Raw genomic sequence first — 21656 nt, 5'->3', positions numbered from 1 at the left:
AGCGTTACAGTCACGACTTCTGCAAAAATGAAGATCCCCAAGCCCAGTAGGAGGGTTCACAGAATCGTAAGATTTCAGAGGGAAAAGGGCTAGAGCCCTTCTAATTCAGTTCCCCCACTCACCATTGTGAACCCAGACACTTCACAAAGTCACAAAGCAACGATCAGGGGTGGGACCTGGCTCCTCTGGAGAGATGACCTAGCTCTGTGTTCCTCTCTCTCTCCAAACTGCTAATGCTCAGGCAGAGGCTGGTGTGTGCAGCATTTTACAAAGTTTCCTATACAAGCACTTTGGGAGGCTGAGGCGGGTGGATCACTTGAGGTTAGGAGTTCGAGACCAGCCTGGCCAACATGGCGAAACCCTGTCTACTGAAAATACAAAAAAATTAGCCAGGCGTGGTGGCATGTGCCTGTAATCCCAGCTACTGCCAGCTGAGGTGGGAGACTGGCTTGAACCTGGGAGGCAGAGGCTGCAGTGAGCTGAGATTGGGCCACTGCACTCCAGCCTGGACTGCAGAGCAAGACTCTGTCTCAAAAAAAAAAAAAAAAAATCTATAAAGTTTCCTATAGAAAAAAATAAATATGCACCAGTTCAACCCAGCTTTTTCTCCCTGAGAGGAGTTGAGGTCAGGTTTATGGGACATGCGGTGCTTTTTGAGTGAATGAGCGTCATAAAGGGAAACCTTCTGGTTTCCCTTTAGGCTTTCGGGGGCCCCTCCTCTTGTGTCTTTGGCGTGGCAGGGAGCTGAAGTCCTTGCAGTCATGAGCCTGTCCCTTATGGATATAACTGGGAGAAAAGTCTAGAAAGTGCTGCCTGGGGTCCCAGGATAATGTGTCCACCTACCTAAGGCAAGAATGCAATCTATATTATCACCCTTCCCCACGGGTGCAGGATTTATGTCACTCTGGAAGAATGCGGACTCCCTAATCAGTTCACCTACAATGAAACCCCGGGTTTTCAGAATAGATTAAGACCAAAGCCTTTCAGTGAAAATAAATGTTCTGGGCAGAAAAAAAAAATTAATGAAAGTCCTAAGATTTTTTTTAAGTATTAATCTAAAAATGGGAGATACAATGTGCCAATCTCCCTGCTGCTTATTTCCGCTAGTGAACTGGGCTATATGGGAACTTAATAAAACATTCACAGAAGGCGGCCGGCGGTGGCTCACGCCTGTAATCCCAACACTTTGGGAGGCCAAGGTGGGCAGATTGCCTGAGGTCGGGAGTTCGAGACCAGCCTGGCCGGCATGGTGACACCCCATCTCTACTAAAAATACAAAAATTAGCCGAGCGCGGTGGCAGGCACCTGTAATCCCAGCTACTCGGGAAGCTGAGGCAGGAGAATCACTTGAACCCGGGAGGCAGAAGTTGCAGTGAGCCGAGATCGTGCCATTGCACTTCAGCCTGGGCAACAGAGACAGACTCTGTCTCAAAAAAAAAAAAAAAAAAAAAAGAAAAAAGAAAAACAAAACAAAACAAAACAAACAAAAACATTCACAGAAGGCTCAGCTGCAATATTTAAAATCTTTACCAGTGGCCGGGTGCAGTGGCTCACACCTGTAATTCCAGCACTTTGGGAGGCCAAGGCGGGTGGATCACCTGAGGTCAGAAGTTCGAGACCAGCCTGGCCAACATGGAGAAACCCCGTCTCTACCAAACATTAGCCGGGTGTGGTGGTGCATGCCTGTAATCTCACCTACTCAGGAGGCTGAGAGGGGAGGATGACTTGAACCCGGGAGATGGAGGTTACAGTAAGCTGAGATGGTGCCACTGCACTCCAGCCTGGGCAACAGAGCAAGACTCTGTCTCAAAAAAAAAAAAATTTACCAGTCATTTGTATTTCATAAACAGCAGCAATTTCATTAAAATCAGTGCATATGGGGAAAATGGATGCGTAGGTGGTGTCCTATCTTCTTGTTTAATGCTGTGTTAACATATTTTTGCACGTTTAAAAAATTGACATTGATAAATTTTTAGCATGAAGTTGCAGAAGCTGACCTGGGTCCTAACTGTAAAATGCAGAGGAACTCTATCCATGAGGAAGCTTTGTGAAGTCGATTCATTGCTAATGTCCCTGTGAGTATCTAACTTAAAAAGTCCAGTGTAGCCAGGCATGGTGGTGCACACCTGTAATCCCAGTTGCTTGGGAGGCTGAGGCAGGAGGTTCACTTGAGGCCAGCAGTTCGAGGCTGTAGAGCATGGTGATTATGCTCGTGAATGGCCACTGTACTCCAGGCCTGGGCAACATAGGGCGATCCTGTCTCTATTTAAAAAAAAAAAAAGTTCAGCAAGAACTGGAGGGCTATGGAGGACTGAGCATTGAGTTTAGAAAGTTGTCACTACAGGGCGGGCATGGTGGCTCATGCCTGTAATCCCAGCACTTTGGGAGGCCGAGGTGGGGTGATCGCTTGAGCCTAGGAGTTTGAGACCAGCCTGGGCGACATGACAAGACCTCGTCTCTACTAAAAATTTTAAAAATTAGCCAGGCATGCAGGCATGTGCCTGTAGTTCCAGCTACTTGGGAGGCCCAAGTGGGAAGACTAGTTGAGCCCAGGGGTTCGAGTTTCAGTGATCTGAGATCACTCCACTGAATTCCAGCCTGGGCCACAGAATGAGACCCTGCCTCCAAATAAATAAATAAAAAGTAAAAGAAAGTTGTCACAACAAAATGAGGCACACGGAGTTTGAACACCTCTCTTTTTGGGAGAACACACTGAGTAGACAACACTGTGTGTGTGCGTGTGTGCGTGAGCGCATCTGTGAGTGTGTGGGGGGTGCTTTGGATGGGGGAAGAGTGTGAAGGAGGCCATGAATCCATTTATTCTGATAAAGAGCAGGGCCAGGCGCAGTGGCTCACTCCTGTAATCCCAGCTACTTGGGAGGCTGAGGCAGGAGAATCACTTGAACCCAGGAGGCAGAGGTTGCAGTGAGCCAAGATCGCCACCACTGCACTCCAGCCTGGGCGACAGAGCATGACTCCGTCTCAAAAAAAAAAAAAAAAGGAGCAGGAGTATTTATGAAGCAGCCAGGAGCTGGGTATGTGTCCAGGTTGAATCTTTGTGATAAGCATTTGATAACCATTGAGCTTAGCAATAGAGTTATGGAAATGGTACTTAGATGTTTTTCTTTTTCTTTTCTTTTTTTGAGACAGTGTCCTGCCCTGTCATCCAGGATAGAGTGCCATGGCGTGATCATGGCTTACTGCAGCTTCAACCTTCTGGGCTCAAGCCATCCTCCTTCCTCAGCCTCCCAAGTAGCTGGGACCACAGGTGCACACCATCACACCTGGCTAATTTTTAAATTTTTGTAGAGATGGGGGTCTCGCTATGTTGCCCAGGCTGGTCTCAAACTCCTGGCCTCAAGCGATTCTCCCACCTCAGCCTCCCAAAGGGCTGGGATTACAGGTGTGAGCCACCACACCTGGCCTGTGATTGCTTTTCTTAACATGGTACTCTGCCATTATATTCTCTATTAGGAATTTGATATGCTCAGAAGATATAGTGAATTATAGTTGCCTGTTTACTAACATCGGGGTCCTTTCAGGTAGTGTCCACCACAGGAAACATTACTATTTGGGTTTTGTGACCCAGGAATCCATATTTACCTGGCGGCAACGACACAGCCCTCACCTTTCCAGACCTCATCTGGTGGCCTTGTAATCCTGGAGCTGAAGCTGCCTACACACAAGCAATCGGTCGCAGTGTATCCGTGCAGGGTCCCAACCCACTCCAGGATTCATTTCGGGATGGCTTCCCCTCCCTCAGCCAGGTCTCCGGCCCCGTTGCTCTGCATGCTTGCCCATCTCCATCTCCACGGCGATCATGTGTTTGCAGGGAGCCATCAATATCCTCTTCTCTTACGCTTTCTGAATGGGAGAGTCAATCTCAATGGGAAGCTAGCAGGGACTTGGGTGGACAGGTGTCTCACGCTGGATGGGCGAATCCAGGTGGGAGGGAGGGTGGGCTTGCTGTCATTTGTTGGTGGGTCATGGGATTTGCTATGAAGCTGGAGGGAAAATCTGGACCCCTGAAGAGGGGTCCCTTCCCTTCCTAAGGGAAGGCCTCAGCTCCAAGACTGCAGGAGGAGCTGGGTAGCCATTGGATATGGCTAACGCACATGAATCATGACCAGGGTGCACTGTTTGGACAGCAAGTCAGTGGCCCAAGGAGAGAGAGGTTAGTGATGGGAAGCGTCCTGAGACTCACTGATGCATCTTTACATTTTTCTCTTTAAGCATTAGGAAGAGGCCGGGTGCCGTGGCTCACACCTGTAGTGCCAGCGCTTTGGAAGGCTAAGATGGGCAGACTGCTTGAACTCAGGAGTTTGAGACCAGCCTGGGCAATGTGTCAAGACCCCATCTCTACAAGAAATTTTAAAATTAGCCAGGCATTGTGGTAGGTGTCTGTGGTTCCAGCTACTCAGGAGGCTGAGGCAGGAGGATTGCTTGAGCCTGAGAAGTTGAGGCTACAGGGAGCTGTGATCTCACCACTGCACTCCAGCCTGGGCAACAGAGTGAGACCCTGTCTCAATCAATCAATCAATCAAGAAATATTAGGAGGAGAATTTGTTGATGTCTCTTTTCTGTCATAAGCTCGGCTCTCCAAGAGCCTTTTCTTCCCAGGAGGACATGCTGGTGTTTCATGAATCTAGGACTTCTTGCCTGAAGCTTGTAAAGTGCTAGATGGAATGAAAACAGCAGCAGTAAGAGCAGGCTCTTATGCAACCTTGCTACACACAAGGCATTGCTCTAAGTGCTTTGCAGGGGTTAAGAGATGCAGCTGAGTAGCTGAGGACAGTCTAGGGGTGGGGTTTCCAGAGGCTGTCAGGGGAGTGGCCCCCAGTCTCCCTGGTGGAATCCCTGACCATTAATCACACACATAAGTTTCACTCCACAAACATGGGTTGTAAAAACATTACAATCTAGCCAGGCGCAGTGACTCATGCCTATCATACCAGTACTTTGGAAGGCCGAGGCAGGAGGATTGCTTGAGGAGTTCCCGACCCGCCTGGGCAACGTAGCAAGACCCCCATCCTACCAAAAAAAAAAAAAAAAAAAGGCAGGGTGTGTTGGTGTGCACCTATAGTCCCAGCTACTTGGGAGGCTGAGGCAGGGAGATTGCTTGAGCCCAGAAGTTCAAGGCTGTGGTGAGCTATGATTATACTACTGCACTCCAGCCTGAGCAACAGAACAAGACTCTGTTTTTTTTTTAAGCCATAATCCATTATTTTTTTCTAAATTAAATGGAATGTGTTGTGAACCACAATCATTTATTTTATTTACTTATTTATTTTTGAGACGGAGTCTTGCTCTGGCGTCCAGGCTGGAGTGCAGTGGTGTGATCTCGTCTCACTGTAACCTCTGCCTCCTGGGTTCAAGCAATTCTCCTGTCTCAGCCTCCTGAGTAGCTGGGATTACAGCTGTGCACCACCACACCTAATTTTTGTATTTTTAGTAGAGATGGAGTTTCATCACGTTGTCCAGGCTGGTCTCGAACTCCTGGCCTCAAGCGATCCACCTGCCTCAGCCTCCCAAAATGCTAGGATTACAGGCGTGAGCCACCATGCTTGGACCTAGCCACAATTATTTAATACCAGGGCTCCCTGCCATTGCTCCCCAGAGCTGGGAGAAGGTCTCAGGAGCATATTGGGTCAGGTATGTGTGGAAAGGCCCTCCAGGCTCAAATCCACACTGGGCCTGCTCTGTGCCCTGACTCCAAGCTCCAGGAGCCCTCAAAGGTGGCAGCTCCACTGCTCATGAGCCAAGCTTAGGGACCGGGGCCCTTCCTAGCAGCCAGAAAGAGCCTTATTCTTAGTTGTTTTTTTTTTTTTTTTTTTTTTTTTTTGTAGAGACAGAGTCTGGCTCTGTTGCTCAGGCCAGAGTGCAGTGGTTCGATCATAGCTCACTGCAACCTCAAACTCCTGGGTACAAACAATCCTCCTACCTCAGCCTCCTGAGTAGCTGGGACTACAAGCGTGCACCATCACACCTGGCTAATTTTTATATTTTTAATTTTTAATTTTCTGTAAAGACAGGGTCTTGCTATGTTGCCCAGGCTGGTCTCAAACTCCTGGCCTCAAGCGATTCTTCTGCCTCGGCCTCCCAAAGTGCTGTGATTACAGGCATGACCCACTGTGCCTGGTTCTGTTTTTAGTACCAAGGGCCCTCATACCCCCTGTCTCTTCTTGGGACTCTGCCAAGTCCCAGGCTCCTTCTCAGCCTTGGGGACGGTACCCAGATCAGCACCTCCACTTCCATCTCCCCACCTCACCCCAAACCCTTCCCTCTGGCATCTAGAGCCATCCTAAAGTTTCTCTTCTTGAGTCTAGCCCTCCTGGGTATGCTTGGGGACTGAAATGCTCAAACTGGCCTCACCTCTTGACACTGTAATTGTTCCTTATCTCCCATTAAACAGGAATCCTGCTTTGTGTAGTTCAGTGCCTGCTGCCAAGTCAGAGCTGTGACCTCAATGAAAGTGGCCCAGCCACAGCAAACCTCAGTTTCCATAACAGTCCTGGGATCCAATGTGGCTTTCACACTACATGTCACTTCACTCTGTTATCTCTGACAGAAAACCAACTCAAACTGGCTTAAGCAAAAAGGGTACTCACTGGGCCATGTAACCAAAAAGTGTAGGCATACATGTGGCTTCAGGAATGGCTGGATCCAGGCACTCACATGTGGCATCGGGAGTCCCTCTCCTGGCTGTTGGTTTCAGTTTTCTCTGCAGGGGTTTCATTCAAGCACTGGTTCCCTCCTCATAGTGGCAAGGTGGCTGCCCAGGACAAGAGGCTTATAGCCACGGGCTCAGCTACTTAAGGATAAGTTCCATCAGAAGCCCAAGTTGAGGCCGGGCTTGGTGCTCACACCTGTAATCCCAGCACTTTGGGTGGCCGAGGTGGGTGGATCACTTGAGGTCAGGAGTTCGAGACCAGCCTGGCCAACACAGTGAAACCCTGTCTCTACTTAAAAAAAAACAAAACAAAACAAAAAAAAAAACCATGAAAATTAGCTGGGTGTGGTGGCACGTGCCTGTAATCCCAGCTACTTGCAAGGCTGAGGCAGGAGAATCACTTGAACCTGGCAGGCGGAAGTTGCAGTGAGACGAGATCACGTCATTGTACTCCAGTCTGGGCAACAGAACGAGACTTCGTTGGCAATGACTGGGTCATCTGTCCAGTCCTGAACCGGTCACTGTGTCAGGTAGAAGCATTGTTTGATTGGCCAGGCCTGGGACACACGGCCATCTCCAGACCTAGGAATGGCATCATCTCTACCCAAACCCCGTGAACCAAGAGTTGGGGAGGAGCAAAGCTTCAGAGAAAACTCTGGGCCCTGTCATCAAGCAGAGGAGGAAAGGAGGCCACACAGACTGAGACATCAAGTACCCACTGTGCCCTCACCACCAGCTCCCGCCCTGGCCAGTGCACTCCTGGACCATCTCTCCTCCCCGTCTTGTTCACAGTCACCCTCTCACCCCAGCAGAGATCAGGCCAGGGTACTGGTGGCAAGTGAGTGAAGGGTTTCAGCAAGGGGGTCCCCACCTTCCAGGCACAGTGTAAGTGGACCCCCCACACTTGGGGGCTCTCCTGGGTTGCACAGTGTCCTCTGAAAATTCACATCCACCTGGAACCTGCAAATATGACCTTATTTGGAAATGGAGTCTTTGCAGATGTTGTCAAGATAAGATGAAGTCATACTGTTTTAGGATGGGCCCTCTATATGGCACGACTGGGGTTCTTATACGAAGAGGGACCCTGGCACACAGATGCATACAGGGAGAGTGCTGTGTGATGAGAAAGGCAGAGATTGCAGTGATGCTGCCACCAGCCAAGGAGTCACCATCAGCCAGGAGATGGGCATGGATCTGATTCTCCCTGGGAACCTCCAGAAGGAGCCAACCCTGCCAACACCTTGGTTTTGGACTTCTGTTCCCCGCAACTGTGAGACAATACATTCTGTGGTTTTAAGCTTTATGATAATTTGTTACTGTAGCCCTGGGAAAGGAATACAAGGGTAGACAGACACTGATCAAGTAAGCAAACAAATGTGAAATTGCCCTGTGACAAGGGAGGTGCGGGGTGCCTGTGTTGGGGAAGAATTCTCTGAGACTTGAAGTCAGAGAAGGAGTTAGCTAATGGGGCCGACAGGGTTCTGCACACGCAGCTCACGGCCCAGATCTTGTTGGCCAAGTGTTTTTGCAGGGATTAGGAACTAAGAATGGTTTTGCAAGAAGAACATCACAGGCTGAGGGGACAGCATGGGCAAAGGCCATGAAGTGGGAGGCGCCCTCTGTGAAACCAACAAGCTTTCAGCCACGTGGGTCTCTCTGACGCGTTGCCTCAGCCACAGAGGGCTTTAAAAAGCCCCGAAACTGGACAGGTGTCACTGCCTGTGGCAGTAGCGGCCATTTGGCGCCTGTGGTTTCAACTCCACCCGTTTCACATGTCTATGTTACCAGACTGGCCCCTGAAGGGGATCTGTGTGCCAGGCCCTGACCTGCCGGGCTTTGGAAACATCCTCGACAGTGTCCCCTGACCTGCGCCCCGCCTTGTGGAGTGAGGCCTGGTTGCCCAAGCTGGCTGGGCCGGGCTGTTTGTTGCTTCCAACAAACATAGGAGAGAACGTATGGCTGCTTTTTATTGCCAGTGAGAGTTCCGCGAGGCCTGGCCCGAGATGTGGCTGGCGTGAGGGGTCCCGGACCTGCTGTGCTGGGGACGCACCCAGTTCTGTGTCGCTTGGTCCAGTGAGGACTCGAGCCCCTTGGAGGCGGGGCCTCGGGCTGCAGGGGCGGGGCCCCGAGCCGCCTGGGGGTGGGGCCTCAGGCTCTTTGGGGGCGGGGCCTCAAGCTGTCTGGGGACGGAGCCTCCGGCCGGCTGGGGGCGGGGCCTCATGCCTAAGGGGCGGGGCCTCGAGCTTTCTGGGGGTGGGGTCTCAAGCTTCAGGGTCGGGGCCTGGAGCCGCCTGGGGACGGGGCGATCTGTTGGGGAGGAGGTTCTCGAACTGCTGAGGAGGATCGCAGTGCTTTTGCTTCCTCTAGGAGACCAGCTGCACAGGCTGGAACATGCCATCTCTATGCCTGTTTTCCCGTCGATAAATCCAGAGACATTACTCTCATCATTTCTTCCTCTGTACACAATATTCATATATGTAACCCCTTGGTAAAGCAGTTGTAAGAATTAAACAAGAGGAATTGCTCTTTCATTCAGCAAATATTTTTTGAGCAGCTACTAGATGCCAGGCACTGTTTTAGACGCAAGTGATACTTCAGGAAACATAATCAGACAGACAGACAGACATGCCCTCCTGGAACTGACATTGTAGAACAAGGGTCCGCATCCTGTGGCTCACAGGCCAGATCTGGTTGACCGTCTATTTTTGCATGGACGTTAAACTAAGAATGATTTTTGCATTTTGATTTTTATTTTATGAAAAAAAAAATTGAGGGCTGGGCGCGGTGGCTCAAGCCTGTAATCCCAGCATTTTGGGAGGCCAAGGTGGGTGGATCACCTGAGGTCAGGAGTTCAAGACCGCCCTGGCCAACATGGGGAAACCCTGTCTCTACTAAAAATACAAAAATTAGCCGCCATGGTTGTGGGCACCTGTAATCCCAGCTACTTGGGAGGCTGAGGCAGGAGAATCGCTTGAACCCGGGAGGTGGAGGTTGCAGTGAGCCGAGATGGCGCTACTGCACTCCAGCCTGGGCAACAAGAGTGAAACTTTGTCTCAAAAATAATAAAATTAAAATAAAATAAAAAAGAGTGGTCTCTGGAACAATAGCTCAGTATCACCTGGACATCTGTTAGAAATCCAGACCTACTGAACCAGAATCTGTATTTTAGCAAGACCCCCAGGTGATCTGTGTGTACATTAAAGTGTGAGATGTTTTTGTAGCAACACGCATGGAACTAGAGGTCATTATCTTAAGTGAAATAAGCCAGATACAGAAAGACAAATATTGCATGTTCTCACTCCCAAGTGGGTGCTAAAAAATGCATACACATGGCTCCACAGAGAGTGGAATAATAAATAATGGAGATTCAGAAGAGTGAACGTGAATTTTGGCAGTTCATCCACCGCTGTGAATCATAAGAAATAGTTTAATGGCTGCCAGGTGAGGTGGCTCACACCTGTAATCTTAGCACTTTGGGAGGCCGAAGCAGGAGGATCACTTGAGCCCAGGAGTTCAAGACCAGCCTGGGCAACATGGCAAGACCCCATCTCTACAAAAATTGCAAAATATTAGCTGGGCATGGTGGCACCAACCTGTAGTCCCTGCTACTCAGGAAGCTGAGATGGGAGGATCGTTTGAGCCTGGGAGATAGAGACTGCAGTGAGCCATGATTGCACCACTGTACTTCATCCTAGGTGACAAAGTGAGAACCTGTTTAAAAAAACAAAAATAGGCTTGGTGCGGTGGCCCATGCCTGTAATCCCAGCACTTCAGGAGGCTGAGGCAGGCGGATCACCTGAGGTCAGGAGTTCGAGACCAGCCTGGCCAACATGGCGAAACCCCGTCTCTACTAACAGTACAAAAATTAGCCGGGCATGGTGGTGGGCGCCTGTAATCCCAGCTACAAAGGAGGCTGAGGCAGGAGAATAGCTTGAACCCTGGAGGTGGAGGTTGCAGTCAGCCGAGATCGAGCCTGCACTCTAGCCTGGTGACAGAGCGAGACTCTGTCTCAAAAAAACACAGCAGCAACAACAACAAAAAGAAATCACTGAATGGGTACAATGTATGTGATCGGGATGATGGAGATCCTAAAAGCCCTGACCTGACTATTACACAATCTACGCATGTAATGAAATTGTATTTGTACCCCATAAATTTATGTAAATACAGAATTTTAAAAAGTGTGAGTTGTGCAGGTCTAAAATGATGCAGAATGCTCAGCACAGGCCTGACACTTAGCAAGAGCTCCATGAATATTAGCTAATGTGGTGGATGGACTCATGGTCCCCCAAAGAGGTCCACATCCTAATCCCCAGAACCCGTGAAAGTGCTAATTTACATGGTAAAAGGGGCTTTGCAGGTGTGGTCAAATTAAGGCTCCTGAGATGAAGGAATTCACCTGGATTATCCCTGAGGGGCCAAATGATGTAATCACAAGGGTCTTTTTTTTTTTTTTTTTTTTTTTTTTTTGAGACAGAGTCTCACTCTGTTGCCCAGGCTGGAGTGCAGGCTTGATCTCGGCTCACTGCAACCTCTGCCTCCTGGGTTCAAGCGATTCTCCTGCCTCAGCCTCCCGAGTAGCTGGAATTACAGGCGTGCACCACCATGCCCAGCTACTTTTTGTATTTTTAGTAGAGATGGGATGTCACCATGTTGCCCAGGCTGGTCTCGAACTCCTGACCTCAGGTGGCCTCGGCCTCTCAAAGTGCTGGGATTACAGGCATGAGTCACCACACCTGGCCCACAGTGGTCCTTATAAGAGGCGGTGGGTGGGGCAAGAAGAAACGTGACATGTGAGGCTGGAAGCAGAGGGTGGAATGCATGCTTTGAAGGTGGAGCCACCTGCTTTGTAGGGGTCCTGTAGCATCTGGAAAAGACAAGGACTCAGATTCTCCCTCAGAACCCCCTGGAGGAACCAAGCTCTACTGACACCTTGATTTTAGACGTCGGACCTCTGGAACGGTAAGAGAATAAATGTATCTTTTTTTAAGTCACTAAGTTCGTGGAAGCTTGTTGGAGCAGCAATACAGAATGAATATAGCTGCCATTCTTACTGTTATCCTGTTTGTCGTAGGCTGGCTCTGCCATCTTCCTATTCAGTTGTTTCAGGCAAGTTACTGAGTCTCTCTGAACTTGAGTTTTCTGCTCTGTAAAATGGAGACAAGAAGTTTTCCTACTTCTGGTCAAATGAGATAATGCACTTAAAGTGACTCCAGCTGTCATGATTGTTGTTGCTCTTGTTTAAGTAAAGGCAGTGGCCATGGCTGGCTGTGTGTGACCTTGGGCAAGTTATGTGACTTCTCTGAACTTTAGTTTCCCCGCCTACAAAGTGGGGGTCATGACAGCATCTACCTCCTGAGGCTGTCGTGAAGCTGGAAGGAGACCCTAAGCATAATTTCTGGGTCCATGCCTCGCTGGAGGACGCAGGTGTAATTCTGGCCAAATTGGAGAATGTGATCTCTAAACTGGGTGGGACCCTCTAAGCTGTCCTGACTCGGGTCATCTGTGCTGGATCACAGCCTCAGCCTGGCTGGCAGGGGAGTAGATCATTCCTATTCCCTTTGCCTCCCCAGCTCTTCCCAAGTGGACACCACAACCCCATTGCGTTTTTTAGGGACGGAGTCTCCCTCTCTCACCCAGGCTGGGGTGCAGTGGTGTGATCTCGGCTCACTGCAACCTCCGCCTCCTGGGTCCAAGCGATTCTCCTGCCTCTGAGTAGCTGGGATCACAGGTGCACGCCACCACTGCCGGCTAATTTTTGTTTTTTCAGTAGAGATGGGGTTTCACCATGTTGGCCAGGCTGGTCTCAAACTCCTGACCTCTAGTGATAAGCCCGCCTTAACCTCAAAGTGCTGGGATTACAGGCGTGAACCACCGCGCCTGGCCCCCATTACCTTTTGTTGTGACTGCAGCAGACTCACTGGGGGGCTTCTGTCCCCAGAGGGCGGGGAGCTCAAGCTAGTTCATAGAGGAGGGGCAGGGGCCATTGGGCTGGGGCGGGGCCTGGATATCCTGACACGAGGGTCCTTCCTGTGCTGAGGTTCCGGACTGAGGCGGGAGTCAGTCTGAAGCCTGGCTGTGGGGCTTGGCGTCTATCCAGGCTGGAGTTGGCTCCCTCGGAGTGTGTGTCTCACTGGATTGGATCTGTCTGTGTCTTGGGGGTGTTCTTTAAAGGGAAGAACCTGACAGACTTCACACTACAGTGCCCCGTGCAGGGCCTGGCACACAGAAAATATCTATTGGACCAGTGAATGCATAACCCAAGGGACTGAACGTCCCCAGTGCAAACCAGAAGGGAGTTTGTGTCAGTGGGGAGTCTCCCAGGCCCCAGTAAAGGCTGGTTGACCACGTCCTCCCTAAGCTCTGGGTGTTGCCGAAGTGGCCTTGCTGCTCTGAAAACAACTGTGTGCATCTCAGCCTTGCCTCTCCCGGAGGATGGCCTCTCACTTCCTACGAGACCAGGACTGCAGCCTCGGAGAGGTTTGAGGGTGTGCCCAGGGCTACACACTTAGAGTGAGTTTGGGGCGTGAGGCAAGGATTTGTGTGTTGGCTGCCCGGCTAAGCACCTGGACAGTGTTCCGTAGGAAAAGAGAGCTGTTAAAGAATTTGTTTCTACCTCTTTTTCTTCTTGGTTTTGTTACTTTCCCCCAACATTTTATTATGAAAATTTTGAAACAGCAACATCAACTCACTAACATTTTACTAAATTTGAGTGATCACATATCCATCCCTCTATCCTTCCATCTATCCAAATTTTGGGTGCATTGTCTCTTTACTTTTACTTTTTCTTTTCTTTTTTTTTTTTGAGACGGAGTCTCACTCTGTTGCCCAGGCTGGAGTGCAGTGGCACGGTCTCAGCTCACTGCAACCTCCACCTCCCAGGTTCAAGCGATCCTCCCACCTTGGCCTCCCCAGTAGCTGGGACTACAGGTGCCCACCACCATGCCTGGCTAATTTTTGTATCTTTTAGTAGAGATGGGGTTTTTCTATGTTGGCCAGGCTGGTCTCGAGCTCCTGACCTCAGGTGATCCGCCCACCTCGGCCTCCCAAAGTCCTGGGATTACAGGCGTGAGCCACCATGCCTAGCCCGCCCCAGTTATTTTTTTATCCAAGCACCCTGTTCTTATCCTTCAAACGATGATTGCAATTAGGTACACACTATTTGTTTCCTTTTGCGTGGGGCTAGGTCTGTCTTGTTCCCTCCTGTGTTCCTCAGTCTGGCACAGGTTGCATGTTCTTAAGTATCTGCTGAACGAACAGATGAATGGGGGAGACGTTACTGGTCTTTGCTCCTCTAATGCTGCCCCCAACCCCCGATGTCATGTCTCGACATGTCTGATTTCCTGAGAGTGGCTTACGTGCCTGGCATGGTACTGAGCCTTCTATGAAGCAGCCCTCTGAGGGAGGGATCCCTAGATCGTACATTCACAGATGCGGCAGCTGAGGCTCAGAGAGGTGAAGCGACAGGCCCCGGGTCACACAGCATCGAGGGGGCAAGTCAGGATGTGATTGCAGTTGCTCCGACCCCAGGCCCGTGCCCTGAGTCTCTGCACAGCCATCCTGAGATTCCGAAGTGGGTCCCCATCATGTCCCGGCTCTCCCCACTTCAGAAGCAGGACCTTGAAAATTTCAAGGGGCCCCAGATACCCCCCCGGATGGCGTCCTGACTCAGGGCAGACCTGCCTCCCGGGCTCCGCGTTATGTTCCGCTCTTTCTCATTGCCTCCCAAATTAGTTCCACGTTCAGCCCGGGGCCTGTGGATTCCACTTGTTTTCTGTAACTGGAGCTCCCCCAGTGCTTGGCACCAAGCTCGGTGACTCTGCGTCGGCTCAGGTTCCTGATTTCCTTGGACAATTTCAAATGATTTCACTGGCAGGGAAAAGCCCAGCCGGGGGTCAGTGAGCAGATCACTCCCCTTTCCCGTAATCAGGTAAAAAAGGATCACAGATGATGAGCAGTTCCTCCCAAGACACACAGGCTGTAGGAACAGGCCTCGTTTTCTATTTTCACCGCGGAAACCACCTTGCAGGATGGGCCTTATGATCCCCACTTCACAGATGGGGAAGCGAGGGCTCGGAGAGGTTGGGTGCTTTGCTGAGAGTTGCACAGCAAATGAGTGGCAGGGCAGGATCTGTCGTCCCCTAGTCTGCTGGCCCCAACACCCAACCTCTTCCTCCCAGATTCTTTTCCGGCTCCAGGCTGCAACAGGAACCTGGCCCTGGGGACTCAGAGTGGCGAAAACCCAGACCTTGCGCACAAAGACCTCAAAGTCAAGCAGAAAAAGACTAGATTGAGTGCAAACAGTGATCAAAGCAGCACCCGCCAACATGAGACAATATGTATTTTTAGACAGTGAGTCAGTCCTGATGATTCACAGGCCTGGCTAGGCTTGCAGGGCAGCCCCAGGACACCAAGGGCAGGGCAGGAGATGAGCTACCCGGGGGCCAGGAGACCAGAAAGGGGTACAGGGCTGCGCCTCCTTATTCTCCATTGTGTTGTCAAGGGCTGGAGGTGGGGCTGGACTCCTTCCCACTTGATCGGAGGATGCATTTTCGAATAAGTACTTAACTAGCTCATGGTCACAGAATTAGAATGTGATACAAGCAGCCTCCCATCACTTTATAAGCATCTGCTCTGGACTGGGCACTGTGACGGGTGCTTGGGAGATGGCAGAGCATGAAACTGACAAAGTTCTAACCTCATGCAACTGATCTTCCAGAACAGGTGTGGGCATACTTTCTCCATAAAGGGCCACATAGTAAATATTTTAAGCCTCGTGGGCCATGACAACTCTTAAGGCTGCAGCTGTAGCTGGAAGGCAGCCGTATGCAATATGTAAATGAGGGGGTATGGCTGTGTGCCAATAAAACTTTATTTACAAAATCAGGCCGGGTGCGGTGGCTCACGCCTGTAATCCCAGCACTTTGGGAGGCCAAGGCGGGCGGATCACGAGGTCAGGAGATCAAGACCATCCTGGCTAACACAGTGAAACCCCATCTCTACTAAAAATACAAATAATTAGCTGGGCGTGGTAGCGGGCACCTGTAGTCCCAGCTACTTGGGAGGCTGAGGCAGGACAATGGCGTGAACCCAGGAGGTGGAGCTTGCAGTGAGTGGAGACTGTGCCACTGCACTCCAGCCTGGGTGACAGAGCGAGACTCTGTCTCAAAAAAAAAAAAAAAAAAAAAAAAAAAAATCAAGGAGCAGCTAGATTTGGCCTGTGGGCTATAATTTGTTGACCCTTCTTCTGGAAGATGCCTTCCTCCACACCCTGGTTCCCCTCATTTGCCCTCTGCTATGTGACTTTGGGACCCCTGATGGCCCTATGGACTGTGGCCTCCAAGGCAATGTGCTGGTTCTGCCAGTGAAACTGCTACAGTGCTCTGTGTTCCTTGAAGATGTGTTCGCATTTGGCCTCACAAGCCCCCACATGTAGCTCTTTCTGAGTCATGTTGTACTGTTACCTTTTTGGCACCAGCATCCGTGTATCACTTGGTTCAACCTAGTGCTTGGTCCATAGCGGGTGATGGATGAATGTTTGTAGAATCTGCAGAATGAACAGACCCAACGCTGTGCCTAGTCTTGTGTATCTTCACTTTAGTGAGAAACTGGCAATAGAGGGGGGGGTTGTGACAGAGACCAGGGCCCCCTCTGGTCTTCCTCCTTGTCCTCCAGGGGTCTAGGTACCCCACTGTCTCACCCCCACCCCGTGCTCACACGACAGTCCAGGAGGAAGGTGCAGGGCAGTGGGGAGGGCCTGGCTCGTTGTGGGCACCAGTGCTGAGCCCCGGCTTCCTGGTCTGTGAAATGGACGGGGATGAGGCTCACATCTCTCACAGAGGTTGCTCGTGGGCTCAAGTAAATCGCTGTGCTTGCTCAACCACCTAAATTCAAGATGAACTCTCTCAGGTGTGCCTTTTGGCTCTTCTAAGAGGTGGAGTTAGGCTGGGAGCGGTGGCTCACGCCTGTAATCCCAGCACTTTGGGAGGCCAAGGCGGGTGGATCACGAGGTCAAGAGATCGAGACCATCCTGGCCAACATGGTGAAACCCTGTCTCTACTAAAAATACAAAAATTAGCTGGGCATGGTGGCGGGCACCTGTAATCCCAGCTACTTGGGAGGCTGAGGCAGGAGAATCACTTGAATCCCGGAGGCGGAGGTTGCAGTGAGCCGAGATTGCGCCATTGCACTCCACCCTGGGCGACAGAGTAAGACTCCATCTCAAAAAAAAAAAAAAAAAAAAGAGGTGGAGTTAGCACCAGTCTCACAGATAAGTTAACAGAGACTGGGGCATCCAGGGACTTGCTTGAGGTCACAGCTAGCAGGTGCAGGGTAGGGTTCAGACCCTACCCTCTCTGTGCCTCCCTTGACCATGAGTCACCCTCTGTAATCAGCAACAGGGTGGCCAGAAACCTGCTGGGCTCTTTTCTGCCCCTGTATCTCTAGCAGATGGTCTTGGATAAGGTGGTCTTATCTCATGCCTGCCTGCCCCTCTACCCATGTCCCTGCCTTCTGCCTGCACCTGTTCAGTGGCCAGGTCAGGGGACAGACGAGGCTCCTTACTGCCACATGGGTGTTTGGAGAGTGGGGCAGGCAGCCCGGCAGAGCTGTTAAGCAGCAACCCCACCACCAGTGCTTCCGGATACCTGGACTCTGGGGCAGGAGCTGTGGAACTATCATTCTCAGATTCGGGCTCAAGTCCTATGTCGGAGGACAGCTAGCCTTATGACCTTGGAAAGCCAGGGAAGTCTTCCAAGCCTGTTTCTCACCTTCGTAATAGGAATGGTAGATGACACGCATTACACATAGTGGATTCTTATTTGTGGTAAAGTCTCTGCAAACACTGAATTAGCGGATCTGGAGCCATTGCTCCTAGGGAGAAATACAGGTTAAGTTCTTACAAACCTCTGGTCACACATTTTCATCAACAGATCAATACCTAACCTGGTTTTATGAGTTTCTCTGTAGACACTTTATTTAATATATAAGTGATTCATTAACATCGAACATGTTGGCTGGGCGCAGTGGCTCATGCCTGTAATCCCAGTATTTTGGGAGGCTGAGGTGGGCAGATGGCTTGAGCTCAGGAGTTTGAGACCAGCCTGGCCAACACAGTGAAACCTCATCTCTACTAAAAATACAAAAATTAGCTGGGAGTGGTGGCGCGTGCCTGTAATCCCAGCTACTCGGGAGGCTGAGGCACGATAATCGCTTGAACCCGGGAGGCAGAGGTTGCAGTGAGCCGAGATTGTGCTGCTGTACTCCAGCCTGGCGACAGAGTGAGACTCTGTCAAAAAGAAAAATAGGCCAGGCGCAGTGGCTCATGCCTGTAATCCCAGCACTTTGGGAGGCTGAGGCGGGCGGATCACGAGGTCAGGAGATCGAGACCATCCTGGCTAACTTACACAGTGAAACCCCGTCTCTACTAAAAACACAAAAAATTAGCCGGGCATGGTGGCGGGCGCCTGTGGTCCCAGCTACTCTGGAGGCCGAGGCAGGAGAATAGCGTGAACCCGGGAGGTGGAGCTTGCAGTGAGCCGAGATCACACCACTGCACCCCAGCCTGGGCAACAGAGTGAGACTCTGTCTCAAAAAAAAAAAAAAAATAGAAAAGAAAAATAATTAAACACATACATGTCCATAGGCAACAGCACTAACGCATGCCTGAACAAACCCTCTCTAACACATGTGTTTTCTCTGTAACGTAGTCACTCCTGCCTTGCTCTCACTGCACACGGGGGTCATTCTTAACATCGACACGACCGCAGAAAGCACAAAAATGGGAAAAATTTGGCACTAAGTAGACCATGAAAAGGATACTTGTTTGCGATGTGAGAGCTGAGATCGGAAGGCAGTGTGAGATCTTCTGAAACCTCAGCTGGGAACATGCCCCTCAGACAGTGGAAATTTTTTTGCCACTTGCACATGTCTGTGAATGACCTTGAAAGTACCTCGAGTGTTGATTTTTGAGGTTACAAATACATTCTAATAAGTAGGTGAACTTGCAAATGCAGAATCCACAAATAATGGGGATTGAGTCTGTGTCTGTAAAAATTTGTGCTCAGTCATTAGCTGAAAGCACCCTATGGAAAGGTGATTTGGATTTTTTCTACATATAAGAAAAATCTTTTTTTTTTTGAGATGGAGTTTTGTTCTTGTCGCCCAGGCTGGAGTGCAATGGTGCAGTCCTGGCTCACTGCAACCTCTGCATCCCAGATTCAAGCAATTCTCCTGCCTCAGCCTTCCAAGAAACTGGGATTACAGGCACCTGCCACCACGCCTGGCTAATTTTTTTGTATTTTTAGTAGAGACAGGGTTTTACCATGTTGGCCAGGCTTGTCTCGAACTCCTGACCTCAGGTAATCTGCCAGCCTCGGCCTCCTAAAGTGCTGGGATTACAGGCGTGAGCCACTGTGCTGGCCCAAATAAGAAAACTCTAAGGCCGGGTGCAGTGGCTCACGCATGTAATCCCAGCACTTTGGGAGGCTGAGGCAGGTGGATCACGAGGTCCGGAGATCGAGATCATCCTGGTTAACACAGTGAAACCCCGTCTCTACTAAAAATAATAAAAAAATTAGCCGGGCGTGGTGGAGGGCGCCTGTAATCCCAGCTACTCGGCAGGCTGAGGCAGGAGAATGGCATGAACCTGGGAGGTGGAGCTTGCAGTGAGCCGAGATTGTGCCACTGTACTCCCGCCTGGGTGACAGAGCGAGACTCCATCTCAAAAAAAAAAAAAAAAAAAAAAAGAAAAAGAAAAGAAAAATCTATGCCACTTTTGAGAACTTGCTTTGTGCCTGTCTGAGCTAAGCTCTTCAAGGCCTTATCTCACTTAATCCTCACAAGGGTTCTATGAGTTTGGTACTGTTATTATCCCTGTGTTACAGATAAGACACAGAGAGGTTAAGTAACCTGCCTATCATCACACAGCCAGCACATAAAACTCGAACCTGGGCAACCAGACACCACGCACACAACACCCCTGGTACAGGCCTGGCATAGAGTGTTGTTAATAGGCTGGTGTATTTTGAGCAGTGATTGGACCCAGGCTTGTGTGGATTCAAAGGCCACCACACCGTGGAAGATGACTGTGGGGAGAGTTTTTGTTTTGCTTCATTTTGTCTTTTTTTTTTCTTTTTTTAATAGATAGTCTCTATCACCCAGGCTGAACTGCTGAGGCATGATCTAGCTCACTGCAGCCTTGAACATGTGGGCTCAATCAATGCTCCCAACTCAGCCTCCCAGGTAATTGGGACTATACACATGTACCACCACGCCCAGCTAATTTTTGTATTTTTAGTAGAGGTGGGGTTTTACCGTGTTGGCCAGGCTGGTTTCCAACTCCTGACCTCAAGTGATCTGCCCGCCTCGGCCTCCCAAAGTTCTGGGATTACAGGTGTGAGCCACTGCACCGGCCAAGAAGGAGACTTCTTTAGATCATTCACTTGTTCATTTATTCAGTTAATCTGTGATCTGAGTACCCTGTGTGTGCCAGATCCAGGACTTGGGACATGGAGGACAATCTACAAGCAGGTCCTGCCCTCAAGGGGCTCCTAGTCCATGGGAGACAAACACCGAACAACCACAGGTCCACATGAAGACCAGATTGCAACTGTGATGAGTGCTACCAAGAAGGGAGGAACCACATGTGCCCAGCTCCAGGGGCCACGTCACAAGGGTTCTGGCCCCATTGTGGCAATCCCTTTCCCTTTCCTGGACATTAGTATCTCAGCTTCTCTTGTAGTTAGAAGCAGTTGGCCGGGTGCGGTGGCTCACGCCTGTAATCCCAGCACTTTGGGAGGCCAAGGTGGCTGGATCTCGAGGTCAGGAGGTCAAGACCATCCTGACTAACACGGTGAAACCCCGTCTCTACCAAAAATACAAAAAATTAGCCAGGCGTGGTGGAGGGCGCCTGTAGTCCCAGCTACTCGGCAGGCTGAGGCAGGAGAATGGCTTGAACCCGGGAGGCGGAGCTTGCAGTGAGCCGAGATCACACCACTGCACTCCAGCCTGGGCACCAGAGCGAGACTCCGTCTCAAAAAAAAAAAAAAAGAAAAAGAAGTGGACATGTGGGCTGGGCATCGTGGCTCACGCCTGTAATTCCAGCACTTTGAGAAGCCGAGGTGGGCAGAGCATTTGAGGTCAGGAGTTTGAGACCAGCCTGAGCAACATGATGAAACCCTGTCTCTACCAAAAAAAAAAAAAAAAAAAAAAAAATTAGCCGGGTATGGTGGCACATGCCTGTAATCCCAACTACTCAGGAGGCTGAGGCAGGAGAATTGCTTGAACTCGGGAGGCAGAGGTTGGAGTGAGCTGAGATCGTGCCACTGTACTCCAGCCTGGGTGACAGAGGGAGACCCTGTCTCAAAAGAGAAGTGGCCATGTGATCCAGCTCTGGCCAATGCAAGGGATAGACACTTCTTCCGTCTCTTTTTGCCTTGAACTAGGATGTGACAGCATTCAGGCTGGAGATGGAAAGCAAACACACAAGGGTGGCAGACTGAGAAGACAGGAGGAACCTGGATGCTTTTTAAAAAAATTTATTTTTGTGGAGACAGGATCTTGCTATGTTGCCCAGGGTGGTCTTGAACTCCTGGGCTTAAGGGAGCCTCTCACCTTGGCTTCCCAAGGTGTTGGGATTACAGGTGTCAGCCACTGCGCAGCCAGAACTTGGATCCTTGATGCCAAAGAGCTGCAGTGCTAACTTCCAACCTTCGTGTCAAATATGGCCACTGTCTGCAGCTTTAAGTCACTGCCAGGTGGATTTCCTGTGACTTGTGGCCGAGGGCACTCCTGACTTAGCCGCCCTGAGGACCAGCTGTTGAGGTTGGGGCCTGTACCATGGGGAGTTCACCAGGGCCCAGAATGGGATCCCACAGCCTCTGACTCCTCATTCAGAATTTGCTCTGCTCTGCCCACTCTTTCCCAAAACTTGGGCCTTGGTTAAGCTGGGTTCTGCTTCTGTATGTGAACACTGCTGCCTCGCCCC

At 50.4% G+C, this 21656-nt stretch overlaps 4 annotated features.

Annotated features, from left to right (window-relative positions):
- Positions 7897-7976: an enhancer, noted in NCBI's record as "active region_10498". NCBI's record gives its function as "activates an Ori minimal core promoter by ATAC-STARR-seq in GM12878 lymphoblastoid cells {active_cell/tissue: GM12878}" and the evidence as "EXISTENCE:reporter gene assay evidence [ECO:0000049][PMID:35858748]".
- Positions 8431-8932: an enhancer, noted in NCBI's record as "H3K4me1 hESC enhancer chr16:14499557-14500058 (GRCh37/hg19 assembly coordinates)". NCBI's record gives its function as "activates a minimal SCP1, AML or CMV promoter by ChIP-STARR-seq in primed H9 embryonic stem cells {active_cell/tissue: H9 hESC(primed)}" and the evidence as "EXISTENCE:reporter gene assay evidence [ECO:0000049][PMID:30033119]".
- Positions 8707-8906: a silencer, noted in NCBI's record as "silent region_7233". NCBI's record gives its function as "represses an Ori minimal core promoter by ATAC-STARR-seq in GM12878 lymphoblastoid cells {active_cell/tissue: GM12878}" and the evidence as "EXISTENCE:reporter gene assay evidence [ECO:0000049][PMID:35858748]".
- Positions 20795-21294: an enhancer, noted in NCBI's record as "H3K27ac hESC enhancer chr16:14487195-14487694 (GRCh37/hg19 assembly coordinates)". NCBI's record gives its function as "activates a minimal SCP1, AML or CMV promoter by ChIP-STARR-seq in primed H9 embryonic stem cells {active_cell/tissue: H9 hESC(primed)}" and the evidence as "EXISTENCE:reporter gene assay evidence [ECO:0000049][PMID:30033119]".

Source organism: Homo sapiens, chromosome 16 (assembly GCF_000001405.40).
Source record: "Homo sapiens chromosome 16, GRCh38.p14 Primary Assembly".
Taxonomy (NCBI): Eukaryota; Metazoa; Chordata; class Mammalia; order Primates; family Hominidae; genus Homo; species Homo sapiens.
The sequence above is the reverse complement of the archived record's forward strand: the minus strand, read 5'-3'. Positions and strand labels throughout refer to the sequence as shown.